Raw genomic sequence first — 19,558 nt, forward strand, 5'->3', positions numbered from 1 at the left:
ATCATGAAGGGATGTTGCATTTTATCATTTTTTTTCTGCATCTATTGAGATGGTTATATGTTTTTTTATTCTGTTGATGTGATGTATCACATTAATTGATTTGTGTGTGTGTTGAGTTGAATTATCCTTATATCTATGGGATAAGTTCCACTTGATCATGGTATATTACCTTTTTGATGTTCTGTTGTATTCAGATTGCTAGTATTTTGTTGAGGATTTTTGTGTCTATATTCATGACAATTTTTGGATTGTAGTTTTCCTTTTTGGTGTATTCTTGTCAGCTTTTGGTATCAGGGTGACGCTAGCCTCATAGAATGAGTTAGGGAGAATTTCCTCCTCTTCAAGTTTTTGAAATAGTTTGAGAAGAATTTGTGTTTGTTCTTCCTTATAGTTGAAGTTATTCTGTAACAGACTTTTCCTTGTTGAACGACCTTTTATTATTGCTTCCATTATATTACTGGCCACTGGTGTGCTCAGGTTTTCTATTGCCTAGTGATTCATCCTTAGGACATTGTATGTGTCTAGAAATTTACCCATTTTCTCTAGGTTTTCCAGTTGGTTAGTGGAGAGTTTTTTCATAATATTCTCTGATGAGCTTTTGTATTTCTTTTGTATGATTTGTAATATCTTCTTTGTTTCTAGCTTTCTTTATTTGGGTCTTCTTTTTTTCTTGGTTAGTCTAGCTGTGGCTTATCAATTTTGTTTGTCTTTTAGAAAAAACAACTCTTTCTTTTATTGATCCTTTGTATGTTTAGTCTTTGTTTTATTTAGTTTTGCCCTTGTGATGGTTAATATTGAGTGTCACCTTGATTGAACTGAAGGATGAAAAGAATTGTTCCTGGTGTGTCTTTGAGGAGATGAATATTTGAGCCACTGGACTGGGAGAGGCAGATCCACCCTCAATCTTGGTGGGCATCATCTAATCGGCTGCCGGCATGGCTAGAAAAAAAAGCAGGCAAAAGAAGTTGGAATGACCACACTTGCTGAGTCTTCTGGCCTTCATCTTTGTCACATGCTGAATGCTTCCTCCCCTCGAACATAGGACTCCAAGTTCTTTCAGCTTTTGGACTCTTGAACTTATATGAGTGGTTTGCCAGGGACTTTTGGGTCTTCTGCCACAGGCTGAGGACTGCACTGTCAGCTTCCCTACTTTTGAGGTTTGGGGACTTAGACTGGCTTTCCTGCTCCTGAGCTTGCAGATGGCCTGCTGAGGGACTTCACCTTGTGATTGTGTGAGTCTATACTCCTTAATACACTCCCTTTCATATATACATCTATCCAATTAGCCCTGTCCCTCTAGAAAACCCTGACTAATACAGATTTTGGTGCCAGAAGTGGGCTGTGCACAGCAACATTCCATCATCAAATGGAAGTGCTATTACATGATCAGGCTCCAGCAGGTCCTGAAGATACATATAAGTTACATGAGGAAGTGGATCAAATGTCCATGGTCTCCACTCCTGCCTCTCTGCCTTCTCTCCCCCAACCTGCATTGATGGCCTCATGGGGAGCTCCCTATGATCATTTGACAGAGGAAGAGAAGACTAGGGCCTCGTTCACAGATGGTTCTGCACAATATGCAGGCACCGCCCAAAAGTACACAGCTGCAGCACTACAACCCCTTTCTAGGACATCCCTGAAGGACAACGGTGAAGAGAAATATTCCCAGTGGGCAGAAGTTCAAGCAGTTCACCTGGTTGTGCACTTTACATGTAACGAGAAATGGCCAGATGTGCGATTATATACTGATTCATGGGCTGTAGCCAATGGTTTGGCTGGATGGCCAGGGACTTTGAAGAAGAATAATTGGAAAATTGGTGACAAAGAAATTGGGATACAGGTATGTGGATGGACATCTCTGAGTGGTCAAAAACTGTGAAGATATTTGTATCCCATGTGAGTGTTCACCAAAGGGTAACCTCAGCAGAAGAGGATTTTACTAAGAGGATTTAATAATCAAGTGGACACCACTCAGCGTCTTTCTTCAGCCACCACTGTCATCACCCAATCGACCATGAATATAGTGGCTATGGTGGCAGAGATGGAGGTTACACATGGGCTCAGCAACATGGACTTTTACTTACCAAGGCTGATCTGGCTACAGCCACTGCTGAGTGCCCAATTTGCCAGCAGCAGAGACCAACACTGAGCCCTCGATATGGCACCATTCCTCAGGGACATCAGCCAGCTACCTGGTGGCAGATTGATTGTATTGGACCTCTTTAATCATGGAAAGGGCAGAGGTTTGTCTTCACTGGAATAGACACTTACTCTAGAAATGGGTTTGCCTATCCTGCATGCAGTGCTTCTTCGAAGACTTCCATCTGTGGACTCATGGAATGCTTTATCCACTGTCATGGTATTTCAAACAGCATTGCCTCTTACCAAGCCACTCACTTTGTGGCTAAAGAAGTGTGGCAGTGGGGTCATGCTAATGGAATTCACTGGTCTTCCAATGTTCCCTATCATCCTGAAGCAGCTGGATTGATAGGACAGTTAAATGGACTTTTGAAGTCACAATTACAATGCCAACTAGGTGACAAGACTTTGCAGGGCTGGCGCAGAGTTCTCCCAAAGGCCATGTATGCTCTGAATCAGTGTCCAATATATGATACTGTTTCTCCCATAGCCAGGATTCATAGGTCTAGGAATCAAGGGGTGGAAGTGTAAGTGGCACCACTCACCGTCACCCTTAGTGATCACTAGCAAAATTTTTGCTTCCTGTTCACGCAACATTACGTTCTGCTGGCCTAGAGGTCTTAGCTCTGGATGGAGGAATGCTGCCCCTAGGAGACACAACAGTAATCCCATTAAACTGGAAATTAAGATTTCCACCTGGCCACTTTAGGTTCCTCCTACTCTAAGCCAACAGGCTAAGAAGGGAGTTACAGTGTTGTTTAGGGTGACTTACCCAGACTATCAAGATGAAATCAGTCTACTACTCCACATGGAGGTAAGAAATAGTATGCAAGAAATCAGGAGATCCCTTAGGGCATCTCTTACTATTACCATGCCCTGTGATTAAGGTCAATGGGAATCTACAACAATTCAATCTAGGCAGGATTAAAATGGCTCAGATCCTTCAGGAATGAAGTTTTGGGTCACTCCACCAGTTAAAAAACCATAACCTGCTGAGGTGCTCGCTGAAGACAAAGGGAATACAGAATGGGTAGTAGAAGAAGGTAGTCATCGATACCAGCTACTACCATATGACCAGTTGCAGAAATGACTACTGTAATTGTCATAAGTATTTTCTCCTTATTTTATTAAGAACATGTTTGTGTATGTACACACTTATACTAATAAAATATATCCATTGTATTTCCTTCCTTTTTTAAAAATCATGTGACATAAGATTTATTGACATACCAAGTTTTAACTGTTGTTAATTTTACATAATAACATTTAGGTTAAGGATTAATGTTCTTCCAGTTGTACGGAGGATAGCCGTATTATGTTAGGCATAATTATGGCATAACTATTGTCTTTATTTCAATATTATGTATGATTTCAGGAGATGTGTATGGGTTCAAATTGATAAAAGTGGACTTGTGGTGATAAATATTGAGTATCAACTTGATTGGATTGAAGGATGAAAAGTGTTCTTCCTGGCTGTGTCTACGAGGGTGTTGCCAAAGGAGATTTAACATTTGAGTCAGTAAACTGGGAGAGGAAGACCCACTCTCAATCTGGGTGGGTACCATCTACTCATCCGTCAGCATGGTCAAAAAGAAGCAGGCAAAGAAGTTGGAAGGAACAGACTTGCAGAGTCTTCCAGCCTTCATCTTTGTCCCTTGATGGATACTACTTGCCCTCGAACATCGGACTCCAAGTTCTTCAGCTTTTGGATTCTTGGTCTTACTTGAGTGTTTTGCCAGGAGCTCTTGTGACTTTGGCCACAAACTGAAGACTGCTCTGTTGGCTTCCCTACTTTTGAGATTTTGGGACTCAGACTGGATTCCTTGCTCCTCAGCTTGCAGATGGCCTATTGTGATACTTCACCTTGTGATCGTGTGAGTCAACACTCTGTAATAAATTCCCTTTCATGTATATATCTATTCTATTACTCCTGTTCCCATATAGAACCCTGACTAATACAGATCTGATCTTTATTATTATTGTTGTTGTTTTCTGGAACAGAATCTCACTCTGCCACCCAGGCTGAAGTGCAGTGAAATCTTAGCTCACTACAGCCTTGACTTCCCAAACTCAAGCAATCCTCCTACCTCAACCTCACAAGTAGCTGAGACTACAGGTGTGCACCACCAAGCCCAGCTATTTTTATTGTTATTGTTGTTTATTATTTGTAGCAATAAGGTCTCACTGTGTTGCCCAGGCTGATCTCACACTCCTGAGCTCAAGTGATCCTTCTGCCTCGGCCTCCCAAATTGCTGAGATATTAGCTTGTGATCTTTATTATTTTTTACATCTAATAATTTTGTTTTGTTTACTCTTGCTTTTCTAGCTCCTTGAGATGCATCATTAGTGTTTGCTTGAAATATTTCTACTTTTTGATATGGTCATTTACTGCCATAAACTTCCCTCTTAGTATTGCTTTTGCTGTAAGCTATAGGTGTTGATATGTTGTATTTCCATTTTTATTTGTTTCATTTTTTAAATTTTCATCTATATGTTCTGTGATTATAGAAGAGAATGTTCTAAAAATGACTGTTAGTTCAATTTTGTCTAAATTCCAATTTATTTCCAGTGTTTTGATAGGAATTGCTTTGAATGTGTAGACTGCCTTAGGCAACAAGCCCATTTTAAAAATAGTAATTATAATACATGACTGTAAGATGTCTTTCCATTTGTTTGTGTCATTTCTTTGTTGATTTTCTGCCTCGATAATCTGTCTAGTATTAGGAATGAGGTGTTTAAATCCCCTACTGTTATGGTATTGCTATTTCTTTCTTTATGTCTAGTAATGTTTGTTTATATGTGTGAGTGCTTTAGTGTTGAGTACATATATGTTTTAAATTGTTATTTTCCTTTGTGAGGTGATTCCTTTATCATTTTATAGTGACATTCTTTATCTTCTTATTTTAACCATTTTGACTTAAAACCTGTTTCATCGGATACAAGTATAGCTACCCAGTGTGACTTTTTTTTTGCATGGGATATCTTTTTTCCTTTTCTTTGCTTTGAGCCTATATGCATTTTTAGATGTGCAGTGTGTTTCTTGTTGGCAGCATATGGGAAAATGTTGTTTCTTTATCCATTCAGCCCATCTCTCTTCTAAGAGGATACCTTAATCATTTTATATTCAAAATTATTATTAATATGTAAGATTTTGTTCCTGTCATATTGTTGTTTACTTGAATATTTTCTTTTTCTTTTGTATTGTTAATCATTGATGTTTGGTGGGGTTTTTGGAGTGATAACATTTGAATACTTTGTCTTCCTCATTTGTGTGTTTGCTCTACCAGTGAGTTGTATAGTTTTGTGTGTTTTTATAATGATATATATCATTCTTTTGCTTTCAGGTGTAGTAGTCCTTAAGAATTTCTTGTAGATCCAGTCTAGTGGTTATTAATTCTTCAACATTTGCTCATCTGGGAATTTATTTCTCCTTCAGTAACAAAGGATAACTCTGCTGGGCATAGTATTCTTAGCTGACAGTATTTTTTTTATTTTTTTTTCCTTTTAGTGCTTGGAATTTTTGTCTAATTCTCTCCTCACCCTAAGTTTTCTGCTGATAAATCTCCTGGAAGTCTGTCAAAGTTGACTTATATGTAACAAGATGATTTCTCTCACTTTTTATAAAATTATCTCTTTGACTTTTAACATGTTGACTATAATTTGCTTCAGAGAAGAATTTTCTGGGGTGTATCTACTTGAAAACGTTTGAGCCCCCTGTATTTTAATGTCTAAATTTCTTGCTGGACTTTGGAAGTTTTTAGTTATTAGTTGAGAAAATAGGTTCTCCATACCTTTGATCTACTCTTCACTTTCTCAAACATGTAATATTTTGTTGGCTTATTGTGGCCCATTTGTCATATAGGCTTTTTGCATTCATTTTGTTGTTTATGCTTTTTAAAAACCTGTCTGGGTTATTGTAAAAGATGTCTTCACATTCTGATACCTTCTTCTGCTAGATTTAGTCTACTATTAAAATTCTTGGTTGCATTTTTAAAATATCATTTATTGAATTCTTTAGTTTCAGTTATCATATATATACATATATATATAATGAATTTGTGATTCATATCCTGAATTATTTTCCTGATTTCTTTCTTTCATTTATCTGTGTTCTATTGTACATAACTGAGCTTAATATCATTATTTTGAATTCTATTACAGGCATTTTATAATTTTTTCCCATGGGAATCTTGCTGGAGAATTATTGTGTTTCTTGGGAGGTGTCATATTTTCTGGATTATTCATTTGTATTGTGTTCCTTTGTTGATATTCATGTATGTGGTATAACAGTTACATCTTCCAATTTTCTGAATTGGCTTTCATAGCAAAATACTTCTCCTAAAGATGTATCTTTAGTGTTGGTTGGTTAGGGCACCTTAGCTTTGCTTCTGGGTGCATGCAGTAGTGTAATCTCTGTATAATTCCTTTGACTGTGAACAGCATTAATAGTGCTTAATTTTCTCAGTGGCTTCAGATATGATTGTTAGAAGAGGGTATGGTGAGGCTTCGCTGAAGATAGTTATGCCAGATGGGCCAGTCCTTGTACTACAGTGGTGGCAGCAGTAGGGTGAACACTCTTGTCCTTGTTCCCCTGGGTGGCATACATGGTTCTGTTGTTAGGGAGTCAAGGTGGGCGAATTCCTCAACCCCTAGGCAGCTTGAGTAAGTGCTGGCAGTGGCAGCTTGGGGTCTGGTAAATTTGTGGATTCTTGAGCCCCTGAGCTGTAGGCATAGCATTGGCATGGAAGATTGGCAGAAGTGGTAGTGAGACTACTTTGGGCTCCCAAGCATCACATCCTGGCATTAGTGATGGCTTTAATGGGCTTGGCAGGACAGTCCCCAGTTCCCTAGGTGGTGTGTGCAAGTGGTTGCGGGTGATGATGATGGTAACAGGATGAGCAGGCCCATCTACTGACCTCCAAGGATTCTGCACAGATTCCAGCAGTGATGGATGGAGCAAGGTGATCTCAAGGCACTTCAAGCAGCGTGAGAACTAAGAGGAGAGATAATGCCAGGCCATGTAGTCCTGCCCTCGGCTTCCCCAGTGGTATGCACAGGTGCAGGCCATGGTGTGTAGAGTGGGGTGATCACCAAGATCACCAAGCCTCCAAGTGCCATTTTTGGGTGGCAGCAGCAGCAGTAGTGGTGGATGAGGAGAGCCTCTCCTCAGGGCATTTGCAAGTGCAGAGCAGTCCTGAAAGAGTGTGTGTGTGTGTGTGTGTTTGTGTGTGTGTGTGTGTGTGTGTGTGTTGGGGGTGGAGGGGCTGCTGTCAGTTGCAACAGCACCAGACAGTTAGCTCTTAGGCTCTGGCGAGTGCACACTTTGGCTCCCCTCACCCCCACCAGTAGTGGTAGCTGCAGTCATAGACAGGCAGTGTCTGGCCTCAAGGCGTATGAAATTGCATGATTGTCCTGTTGTTAATGTGGTCAGGATTGCTGTCAGTGGCAGTAGCCCCAGGTAGGTATCTGTCAGGCTCTCAGTAGCACACACTTTGGCTCCATTTGTCCCAGGGGGCAGCTTCCTCTGTTCACTGTCCCACTCACTCCCCCCGATATAAAAAATGGTATGCACAAGAGTGCTGGAGACTCTACCATACTGCTGAGTTTCACTGACATTTGCCACTACACATAGATTGATGTCAGCCGGCTTCCAGGTATGTGGAGGTGCAGGGGCTGTTTGGCCCCAGTGCACGATGCAAGGTAGTGGGGGCAAGGCTCTCAAAATGTTGGTTAGCTGCAGCTGCTTGGGTCTTGGTGGGGTGTGTGGGACCCAGAGTAAGCTCCTTCTCTGGAGTAATGTCACTCTGTGGACTCCACACAGCTCTCTATTCTACCCTCAGTGCCAGTAAGGCTCAAGAGGCCCTACTGTGACTAGGATTGCAGGAGTCAATGTTGGAAATGTTTGCCACTGAGGATTTCTCTTAACTTTTCCCCACGCTGGGGAGCCTCTCTGGGCTACTAGCCAATTACTGCCTGACTTACCTCTCCTTCTGTGCCTCAGGTTTTTCCTGTCACTTTTATGCTGAATTTAAGCATTCTCTTTTTTGTACTCAATTTGAAGTGTAATTAACTACTCACTATTTGAGATATTCTTTTTGAAGAAGGTAAGCGCTAAATACATCTTGTCAACCATCTTGAAGCCACTCGAGTATGGAATTTTCTAAAATAAATAAAATCACACAAATAAGCCCGCCAGCTACAATAAAAAACAAATGAAAGTCGTAGAGTTGAATAGTGTGTGTGTGTGTGTGTGTGTGTGTATGTGTGTGTCTATGTTAGAGATAATAGTCACTAAAAATAGTAAATTTGAAAATGCTTTTTAAGAACTTAACTTTAATGTACAGTAATTTAATTAAATTTAATGCAAGATCTCTCTCTTCAGAGACAGAAAGTGTCTGGGATGTTTAGCAGCTAAGTAGAGTTGAAAAAGAGAGAATAAATGAATTCTGGTGGTATATTAAGCATTAGATCACAGAAATTGCCCCCAAAAAATTTACTGCCAGAAAGGCTTCATTCTGAATGCAATATTAAGCAAATGAATCTGAGAACAACTGGTGAATTTGGGCAAGTGTGGAAAAGACAACAGTGTCACAACAAAAGCCCTGATGATTTCAGAAGAACCCTAGAAAACATTTTCAGTAGGACTGAGGACTGTACACAGGAAAATCAGCTGAAGGTAAGATCCAATTTAAAAAATGGCAATAAGGTTTCAGAGAACATAGATCTCAGAAAAGAAGGGAACACTGCACAAATAAGCATAGAGCCACACAGGCACACTTGCAAATTTCACCTAGGAAACTATCTGATTTAAACCAGACTAATATAAATTTCCAATACCAAAATACTGCAGTAAAAATGAAGAAAATTATCTTCATAAATATCTTCATAAAGGCATACTGACAAAAATAAGACAAGAGGGAAGAAATTTTAGCTTGATACTGTAAAACAATCTACTAGAGAAATCAGATTCGGGTAACCAAAGAATCATAGGAGAAGTTGTGGCATAAGGACAGATAATAATTTGGATATAATTAAAGGTAGCATTAAGAATAGATTATAAAGGTATATATGCTAAAATAGCATGTAAATGTTATATACTCTGCTATATGAATATAATGCAAGTGTTAAAAATTGGGAAGAATAGTAGAAAAAATAAGTCCCAATATATATTTTGGAATTTCACTTTAAAATATATTCCTCCTTACCATTTTATTGGTTATTCTTGGCTTCTTATCTTTTATTTACATTTAGAATCATATTTCTACTATCTTAGAAAAACTCCAGTAAGTTTTTAATTGAAAATTTGATTGAAATTGTATTATATCAATGAATAACTTAGTAGAGTAATGACTTATGTATAATATTTAATGCAGCTAGTCATAAAAATGTTATGACTCTTCATCAATACTAAATATTTAATGAATTTTAACGTTTCTTTTAAATTGCATAAAATTATTATACATATTTTTGTTGGACTCTGTCTTACGTACCTGCAGTTTTCTTTTTTGGTTGATCTGCAAAATACAACTGAAGATTGTATAACAATTTTCTGTCTAATAAGCTTACTAAATGCTCTAATTCGTTTGAACAATTTAACAGTGTGATCTTTTGGGTCTTTGGTTTAGACAACCATATCATCTCTTAATAAAATCATCTGTGTTTAATGACAGTTTTTTAACATTTTCTCCTAATCATTAAAAGTATTTGTATAAAGATGAAATAAAATAATAAAGATATAATAGCAGATAAAGTTAAAACCAGAAAAGTAATAGATTGAAATGCAAGTGAAATTCAAAGCTAGTTCTGTGAAAAGAGCAACAAAAAACCAAAATTTTAGCAACACTCATCAAAAGAAGTGGGAGAGAACTCATAAATCATATTAGTAATTATTAGGAGGCATCATTACAGATCTTGAGACATGAAAAGACTAATAAGGGAACATTTGCTAATAAATTTGTATCTTTGATGAAAGGATAAAAAAATCTTTGAAAGATGAAATGTATCAATCTCAAGATTGATATGTAAATGTATAATCTCGAGAGATTACCTAATCACATACTCACCCACACAAATTAAATATTGTTTAGAAAAAGACCTTTCCAAATGGCTTTACTGGGGTATTCTACCAACATTTGGCAAGAAATAAATTCATTCTACAGATTCTGCTATATGTAAAGTTAAAAAAAAAGGAAACACTTTCTAATTTATTTGAGGCTAATATCACTGAGATATCAAAACCTGACAAAAACATGAACCGAACATATAACCACAGTTTAATATTCTTTATCAACACAGAAGCAAAACTCCATAACCAAATATTAGAAAATTGGATATAGTACACAAAGAAGAAAAATACATTATGACTAAGATGAGCTTTTGGTTAAATGAAGACTATTACATCATGAGAAAATTATACAAATGTAGTTAACCATAAAGAAGCTTAATAAAAGAATAACTGCATGATTATTTCTACACATGCAGTAAAGCATTTGAAAACATCAAAACCAGTTCATTATGAAATCTATCAACTATAGAATAAAAGCTAGAGTCCTCAACTTGATAAAAAGCATTAACAAAAATATTATACTAAATGTTATACTTAGTGGTGAAACACTGAATATCGTTCTTCTAAGACTGAAAACAAGCAAGGATGCCCATTTCTCTGCAACATGATCCTGAAAGTTTTAGCCAGTATAAAAGGCAAGAAAATGAAATAAAAGATAAAACTTGCACATATTGGAATATATATATTCCTTTATTTATAAATAACATGCATGATTAGTTATGTAGAAAAGCCTAAGAAAACTACAATAAATTCTATTTAACTAAGTGAATTTACCATGTCTTCAGATATGTTTAATATTTTGAAAAATAAATCATTTTTATGTAGTAGAAATAAAATCTTCCAAATTAAAATTAAAAAAAATCAATGACTATAAAATTAGATCAAGAAACCAAAAAATACTTGGAAGTAAATTTAGCAAAATATGTGTGAAACCTATAAAATCAAAATTTAAAATATTGCTTAAAAATGTTAAAGACCTGAATTAATTGAGAAATTTGCCATGTTTGGTGACCAAATGGTTCAGTATTGTTAAAAATGCCAATTTTTTCCAAATTAATCTATATTTTCAATGCAATCCCAAGCAGAATCTAAATGGGATGTTTTTGTTTTGTTTTTGAAAATAAAGAAAGATTGATTTTACAATTTCTACAAAAACGCAATCACACACAAATAGAAAAAGTAATTTTGTAGAAGAAAAAAATTAGAGAACTTGAGGATATGCAAGGTCAACTGGTTTTTGACAAATATTCAGTGATGGTAAGCTTTATATCCTAACTTGGCTAGGCTATAGTTTATAATTACTCATTAACACTTATCTAGAAAATGTAAAATTATTTTGCAGATGTAATTTAAGTTCATTATCAATTTACTTCAAGTAAGGGAGATTAATGTAAATAATATGGGGTATGCCAGGTTTAGTCAGGTAGAAGGATTTAAAAGCAGAATTGAACTTCCCTGAAGAGATCCCATCTGTGGATAACAGCTTTGGCTCATGTCTGGAGGTTCAGCTTACCCTTCAGGATAACTACCCTAAGGATTTAGTACTGGCCTTGCCAGAATTCCTAATGGCGTAAGCCAATTCTTTGCAATTGATCTATTAATATATATCTCCTATCAGTTTTGTTTCCTGATTTGGACCCTGGTTAACACGAATTTTGGTACTGATTACTTGTCCTAGAGAAACAGAATCTTAAAGATGATTTTTTTCTGAATTGGTTCTGGGTTTCCTAGAGTTGGCTGTCTAATAAGATTTAGATCTAAAGGTAGTAATGATTCCAATTTCTATGAAAAAGAGGGCATAGTAGTCCATGCCATAATGTGAAAATAGAAATAGGCAAAATATTGCTATTAAATACTCCAAACCAAATACCTATAGAAGACAAGGTTTTGTGTACCACGCATGTGATACCTTAGAACATTTTGTTCAAAATAAGAAATATAATGAGATTCATGTTTTTCAATCCTAACTGCACTGGTGAAAGTGAGGGAAAAAAAAAAAGAATAAGCTAGCGTTTCAATGACATGAAAAGATCTGTGTCTGCCCACATAGATAGATACCTTTATCTCTCTATGGTTAAGTGACTGAAATTTCTGAAAATCAAACCTAGAGTCACATCCTGAAAATAGCTGATTTACAATGTCAATTGAATCCCCAAGCATGCAGCAGGGTTTCTCCTGTAAAATGAAGACATCAATTGGGAAGTAATAGGTCCTGCAAACAGCAATGGGGGCACTTGGGCATATCACAGTGAAGCTGGAGACATTAAAAAATTAAATTCTGCCAACTTTTTATTGTCAGTAGAAGTTGACCTTCTACCCTGAATAAGTTGATTAGCCCTGCTTTGTCTAAAGAAACTGTAATGGTCTCCATTGAGGTAGTTACTTTCGCCACCTCTCTTGGCTTCTGACCAATAAGGAGACCCAAGTTTCAGCAGACCCCAAAGGGTGATATATAAGTGTGACCTTTATGGAGGTGCATGCCAAAAGAACAGCATATTTTTTTCAGTTTATATAAAATCATAACATGTTCGAGGATGGATCTTAATGTGAAAGAGAAATAAATCTTGGAACCCCAAAATCACTAAGCCAAAGGGAAAAGTCAAGCTGGGAACTGCTTAGGGCAAACCTGCCTCTCATTCTTTTCCTGAAAAGGGGAACTACTAAGACAAACACACACACACACACACACACACACACACACACACACACAACTACATGCCTTTCTCACAAGGAATTTCCTCATGGACAAAGGACAGACAGAACTCAAAATCATCCCTCTGCTTACTGAGACAAACGCATATCTGATTGCCTCCTTTGGAAAGACTATTCAGAAACTCAAAAGAATGCAGCTGCTTGTTCCTCTCTATTTATGACCTGGAAGCCCCCTCCTGGCTTTGAGTTGTCTTGCCTTTCCGAACAGAGCTAATGTACATCTTACATATATTGATTGATGTCTCATATCTTCATACAATGTGTAAAACCAAGCTGTGTCCTGACCACATTGGCAAATGGACTTCCTGAAACTGTGTCATAGGTGTACATCCTTAACTTTGGTAAAATAAGCTTCCTAAATTGACTGAGACCTATCTCAGATATTTGGGGTTCACTTTAACAATGTGTGAACATGGTGGAAGAAACATACATTGGATCAGGTTGAATTTACTGATATGGGCCCACTAAGCAGAGACTTTGGATTTCATGCTTTAGCTCAAGAAGTTAGAAAGGGCTCAAATAGTTTGGTTCGTTGACTTTAAGATGGACCGCAAAGTGGCCTAAAACAAAATGAAGTTAAGTGCTAGGGCCACGTTGATATACTGCAGAGGAAGGTATCCTAAGGCTTAGGGAGACTGAAAGGTTAGAGTGCATTTATCACGGAAGACCTACTCATCCACAACTGTGAGAAATACGTTTTTGAGGGAAATCCCACAATCTTTGAAGAGCTCTGTGGTCACTCTTTCTGTGAGTTGACAGAGTTCTTACACTGGATTTTTCTCCAGTGTAAGAACAGAACTGTGTTCTGTTCCATTGGTCTATATCTCTGTTTTGGTACCAGTACCATGCTGTTTTGGTTACTGTAGCCTTATAGTATAGTTTGAAGTCAGGTAGCGTGATGCCTCCAGCTTTATTCTTTTGGCTTAGGATTGACTTGGCAATGCAGGCTCTTTTTTGGTTCCATATGAACTTTAAAGTAGTTTTTCCAATTCGGTGAAGAAAGTCATTGGTAGCTTGATGGGGATGGCATTGAATCTATAAATTACCTTGGGCAGTATGGCCATTTTCACGATATTGATTCTTCCTACTTATGAGCATGGAATGTTCTTCCATTTGTTTGTATCCTCTTTTATTTCATTGAGCAGTGGTTTCTAGTTCTCCTTGAAGAGTTCCTTCACATCCCTTGTAACTTGGATTCCTAGGTATTTTATTCTCTTTGAAGTAATTGTGAATGGGAGTTCACTCATGATTTGGCTCTCTGTTTGTCTGTTATTCGTGTATAAGAATGCATGTGATTTTTGCACATTGATTTTGTATCCTGAGACTATGCTGAAGTTGCCTATCAGCTTAAGGAGATTTTGGGCTGAGACAATGGGGTTTTCTAAATATACAATCATGTCATCTGCAAACAGGGACAATTTGACTTCCTCTTTTCCTAATTGAATACCCTTTATTTCCTTCTCCTGCCTGATTGCCCTGGCCAGAACTTCTAACACTATGTTGAATAGGAGTGGTGAGAGAGGGCATCCCTGTCTTGTGCCAGTTTTCAAAGGGAATGCTTCCAGTATTTGCCCATTCAGTATGATATTGGCTGTGGGTTTGTCATAGATAGCTCCTATTATTTTGAGATATGTCTCATCAATACCTAATTTATTGAGAGTTTTTAGCATGAAGGGTTGTTGAATTTTGTCAAAGGCCTTTTCTGCATCTATTGAGATAATCGTGTGGTTTTTGTCCTTGGTTCTGTTTATATGGTGGATTACGTTTATTGATTTGCATATGTTGAACTAGCCTTGCATCCCAGGGATGAAGCCCACTTGATCATGGTGGATAAGCTTTTTGATGTGCTGCTGGATTTGGTTTGCCAGTATTTTATTGAGGATTTTTGCATGGATGTTCATCAGGGTATTGGTCTAAAATTCCCTTTTTTGGTTGTGTCTCTGCCAGGCTTTGGTATCAGGATGATGCTGGCCTCCTAAAATGAGTTAGGGAGGATTCCCTCTTTTTCTATTGATTGGAATAGTTTCAGAAGGAATGGTACCAGCTCCTCCTTGTACCTCGGGTAGAATTTTGCTGTGAATCCATCTGGTCCTGGACTTTTTTTGGTTGGTAAGCTATTGATTATTGCCTCAATTTCAGATCCTGTTATTGGTCTATTCAGAGATTCAACTTCTTCCTTGTTTAGTCTTGGGAGAGTGTATGTGTCGAGGAATGTATCCATTTCTTCTAGATTTTCTAGTTTATTTGCATAGAGGTGTTTATAATATTCTCTAATGGTAGTTTGTATTTCTGTGGTATCGGTGCTAATATCCCCTTTATCATTTTTTAGTGCATCTATTTGATTCTTCTCTCTTTTCTTATTTATTAGTCTTGCTAGTGGTCTATCAATTTTGTTGATCTTTTCAACAAACCAGCTCCTGGATTCATTGATTTCTTGAAGGGTTTTTTGTGTCTCTATGTCCTTCAGTTCTGCTCTCATCTTAGTTATTTCTTGCCTTCTGCTAGCTTTTGAATGTGTTTGCTCTTGCTTCTCTAGTTCTTTTGATTGTGATGTTAGGGTGTCAATTTTAGATCTTTCCTGCTTTCTCTTGTGGGCATTTAGTGCTATAAATTTCCCTCTACGCACTGCTTTGAATGTGTCCCAGAGATTCTGGTATGTTGTGTCTTTGTTCTCTGTGGTTTCAAAGAACATCTTTATTTCTGCCTTCATTTCGTTATGTACCCAGTAGTCATTCAGGAGCAGGTCATTCAGTTTCCACGTAGTTGAGCAGTTTTGAGTGAGTTTCTTAATCCTGAGTTCTAGTTTGATTGCCCTGTGGTCTGAGAGACAGTTTGTTATGATTTCTGTTCTTTTACATTTGCTGAGGAGTGCTTTACTTCAAACTATGTGGTCAATTTTGGAATAGGTCTGGTGTGGTGCTGAAAAGAACGTATATTCTGTTGACTTTGGGTGGAGAGTTCTGTAGATGTCTATTAGGTCCACTTGGTACAGAGCTGAGTTCAGTTTCTGGATATCCTTGTTAACTTTCTGTCTCATTGATCTGCCTAATGTTGACAGTGGGGTGTTCAAGTCTCCCATTATTATTGTGTGGGAGTCTAATTCTCTTTGTAGATCTCTAAGGACTTGCTTTATGAATCTGGGTGCTCCTGTATTGGGTGCATATATATTTAGGATAGTTAGCTCTTCTTGTTGAATTGATCCCTTTACCATTATGTAATGGCCTTCTTTGTCTCTTTTGATCTGTGTTGGTTTAAAGTCTGTTTTATCAGAGACTAGGATTGCAACCCCCGCCTTTTTTTGTTTTCCATTTGCTTGGTAGGTCTTCCTCCATCCCTTTGTTTTGAGCCTATGTGTGTCTCTGCACTTGAGATGGTAAGATATTTATAAACCTTTTCATTTTCGTGTTTAAGAGCAAGAAAATGCTGGCCCTGTATCAGCATGCTTTTAAAAATCTCAGGACTAATTTTATCCTAAAATCAGTCCTTAAAATTTTTCATGTCCTCTTCTTCCACCGTAGTCCCTGGGCCTAGAGAGATTGAATAGTTTTAATTTCCAGTCCTGTGTCTTACAAAACCAGTTTATTTTCATTGTGGCGTTTTCCCAGGTCTGAAGATGAGGCTTTGACTGGTGTCAATGTTTATGATTTAACAGGATTCAGTGCCTTTTTCAGACCCAGTAATTCAACAGGTCAAAGACTAGCTAGTAGGCTGTATATCAAGCTCAAAACATTTGCTAAAAACAGAATTACAAGTTATTGTAAATTAATAATTATTCATTTCTAAGTAATAATCAAAAGATTTTGAAAGCAATATGGAAATACAATTATAATAAAGGAATATTCTATGTCTAATATGTAGATATAATAGTTTGATATAAAATAAGTTTCCATCTACAATATAAATGATCAAGCATATTATATGCATTTATGCTAAGAACATAAGCCAATGAATGAAATGTTTAGAGACATGAAAAAGAACATATATAAATTAGTAGTTTAGTTTACCATACTGCAGAAAATCTTATCATTCTTTTCAACATATCACAAATTAAAACGCTGTAATTTGGTGTCTAGTAGTACTGCCTGCAGCCCTTCAAACCACCGTCTTACACTGATTAGGTTACTCCTGGTGTATGTCTAATTGCTAGCATCTTAGTAACAGAATTGTGGCCAAACCCATAAAAAGACGTGATAAGTCCTATGCCAGCTTTATCGAAGTAAGACATTTAACCTTTTTCTCCATCAAAAAAATGGTAAATGCTTATATTATTTTGGAAATTCAGTATGAAAATAAATTATCTTGTGTATTTAAATACCATATAACAAAAGAAGGACAAAGTAAGAAAAAGCACCCAATAATTTTTTTCAGCTATCTTAAAAGTATACCATCACACATTTTCAAAACCGGATTTTAGATGCAGTACTGACAACTGATTAGGTATCTTTCTTCATATGCATCTTTAAGCCATTGCAAAACTTGTACATATCTTGTTCTGAAGTACAGACATGAAGGGCCAACCATGATAAAAGACATAACGCAACTGCTGTAACAACCAACAAGCCCCAAGAATGTCTAAAACTGAAACAGTTGGGATGATTTCCTCTCTAAATTGGTTGGACTTGTTCAACATGCAAATGGAAATTCCTTCTGAATTTCCCAAATCGAAAGGATCAGATCTCACTGTTTGGTACCCAGAAAAGACACTCATCTGTCTGGACACAGATGACAAATTTTAAAGGCTGTTCTTCCTAGCAATTGGGACCATGGCTGGAATTTGAAAGAGCAGTGCCAAAGAGAGAGACCCAAATCCATTTCCAGCCAAAAAGGGTCAGGCAGCTGCTTAAGAGGCTTCTGAAACTCTTCTGGCCCATTGCAGCCAAGCCAAGGAGCAATGTGTTCCCAGTCAGGGAAATAAAATCTGTTACCACATGTCAGGAAATCTGTCTAGGGCCCATTGCTCACAGAACAGAAAGCCAATCACTGAGACAATGAGTATTGCCAGAAAAGAAGGCTTTACTTAGGTGCTGCTGCTGAGGAAATGGGAGAGCAATCTCATCTCATATTCCTCTCCTCAATCAACTAAAATTAGGGGTTTATATAGAAGGGGAAAATGTAACTATGTGTGGGAAAACAGGAATTAGGAAGAGGTGAGGAAGAGGAGTTGGTCAACAGGAAGCAGGTGGTCAGTTAGGCAATCATGATGGCTGAGGGTGTCTCATGTCTCATTGTCCAGATGTGGTGATCTGGTCAGTTTCAGTTCTTTGATACTGTCTGGGAGGGCTAATAGTTGGTTTCCTGAGAAAGAAACTTAGATAAGACAAATGCAAGTTTTTCAAGTTTTAAAACTTGAATATTTCTATGTTCATTTTAAAAAACATAAACATCAGTTTTATAAGACAATTGGGCTGATGCCATAACCATTCCATTGAAACTGCCTGTGTAAAGTCCACCCATAAATATCACAATGCCAATGCGGCCATCAGTTATAAGCCCTTATTTTATTTGGACTCTTGGCTCAAGTGAGCACTTCATCAGTTTATTGTATGCTCCTTCTTAATCTCCTTTGATACTTTCTCTCTCTATCCTACTCTTAATTTTGGAGCGTCTAGTGTCCTTTTTCCTATTTTATGTCATCTGTTTCTTTATCTCATCTGGTCTCATGTATTTAATCACAGTGATAGATGGTATAATTGTTAATAATCTGAAACTCAATGTTACAGCTTAATCCTTGTTTCTAAATTTAAAACTTGCACATACAGTTACCTACTGATGATCTCCCACTTATGTCTGATAAACGTGTCAAATATAAAATGTTCAGAAGCCCATTTTGCCCCCACACTTGCTCCACCACAAACTTCTAGCTACCTTAGTTGATTGCTGGTCTACACTTCCACTTCCTCAGGCTTCATCTATGCAGTTATCTCTGCTTATTAGGAAATCTTGTTGGTTCTGTCTCTGAAATATATCCAACATCTGATGAAATTTTACCAATCTCGGCATTGCCATTCTGGCCCAAGCCACCATCTTTTCTGATTTAGAATATAAAATCCTTCAACCAGTTTGCTTTTTCTTTTCTTTTTCTTTCTATTTATTTAATTAATTAATTTATTTATTTATTTGACAGAGTTTTGCTCTTGTCACCCAGGCTGGTATGCAATGTCTCGATCTCGGCTTACTGCAACCCCTGCCTCCGGGGTTCAAGCAATTTTCCTGCCTCAGCCTCCTGAATAGCTAGGATTACAGGCATGCACCAGCTAATTTTGTATTTTTAGTAGAGATGGGGTTTCATCAGGTTGGCCAGGCTGGTCTCGAACTCCTGACCTCAGGTGATCTGCCTGCCTCAGCCTTCCAAAGTACTGGAGTTACAGGCATGTGCCACCATGCCCAGCTAATTTTTGTATTTTCAGTAGAGATGGGATTTCACCATGTTGGTCAGGCTGGTCTCGAACTCCTGACCTCATGATCTGCCCACCTTGGCCTCCCAAAGTGCTGGGATTACAGGCATGAGCCACCATGCCTGGCTTTACTTGGATTCTTTTATGCTCGCCTTCTTGATGATCCTTGAACACATTTTTACACTATGTTTCCTCTGCCTGGAATATTTTTCCTCCAGATAGCAACATGGATAACCTCAGATTTTTA

Source organism: Homo sapiens, chromosome 12 (assembly GCF_000001405.40).
Source record: "Homo sapiens chromosome 12, GRCh38.p14 Primary Assembly".
NCBI lineage: Eukaryota > Metazoa > Chordata > Mammalia > Primates > Hominidae > Homo > Homo sapiens.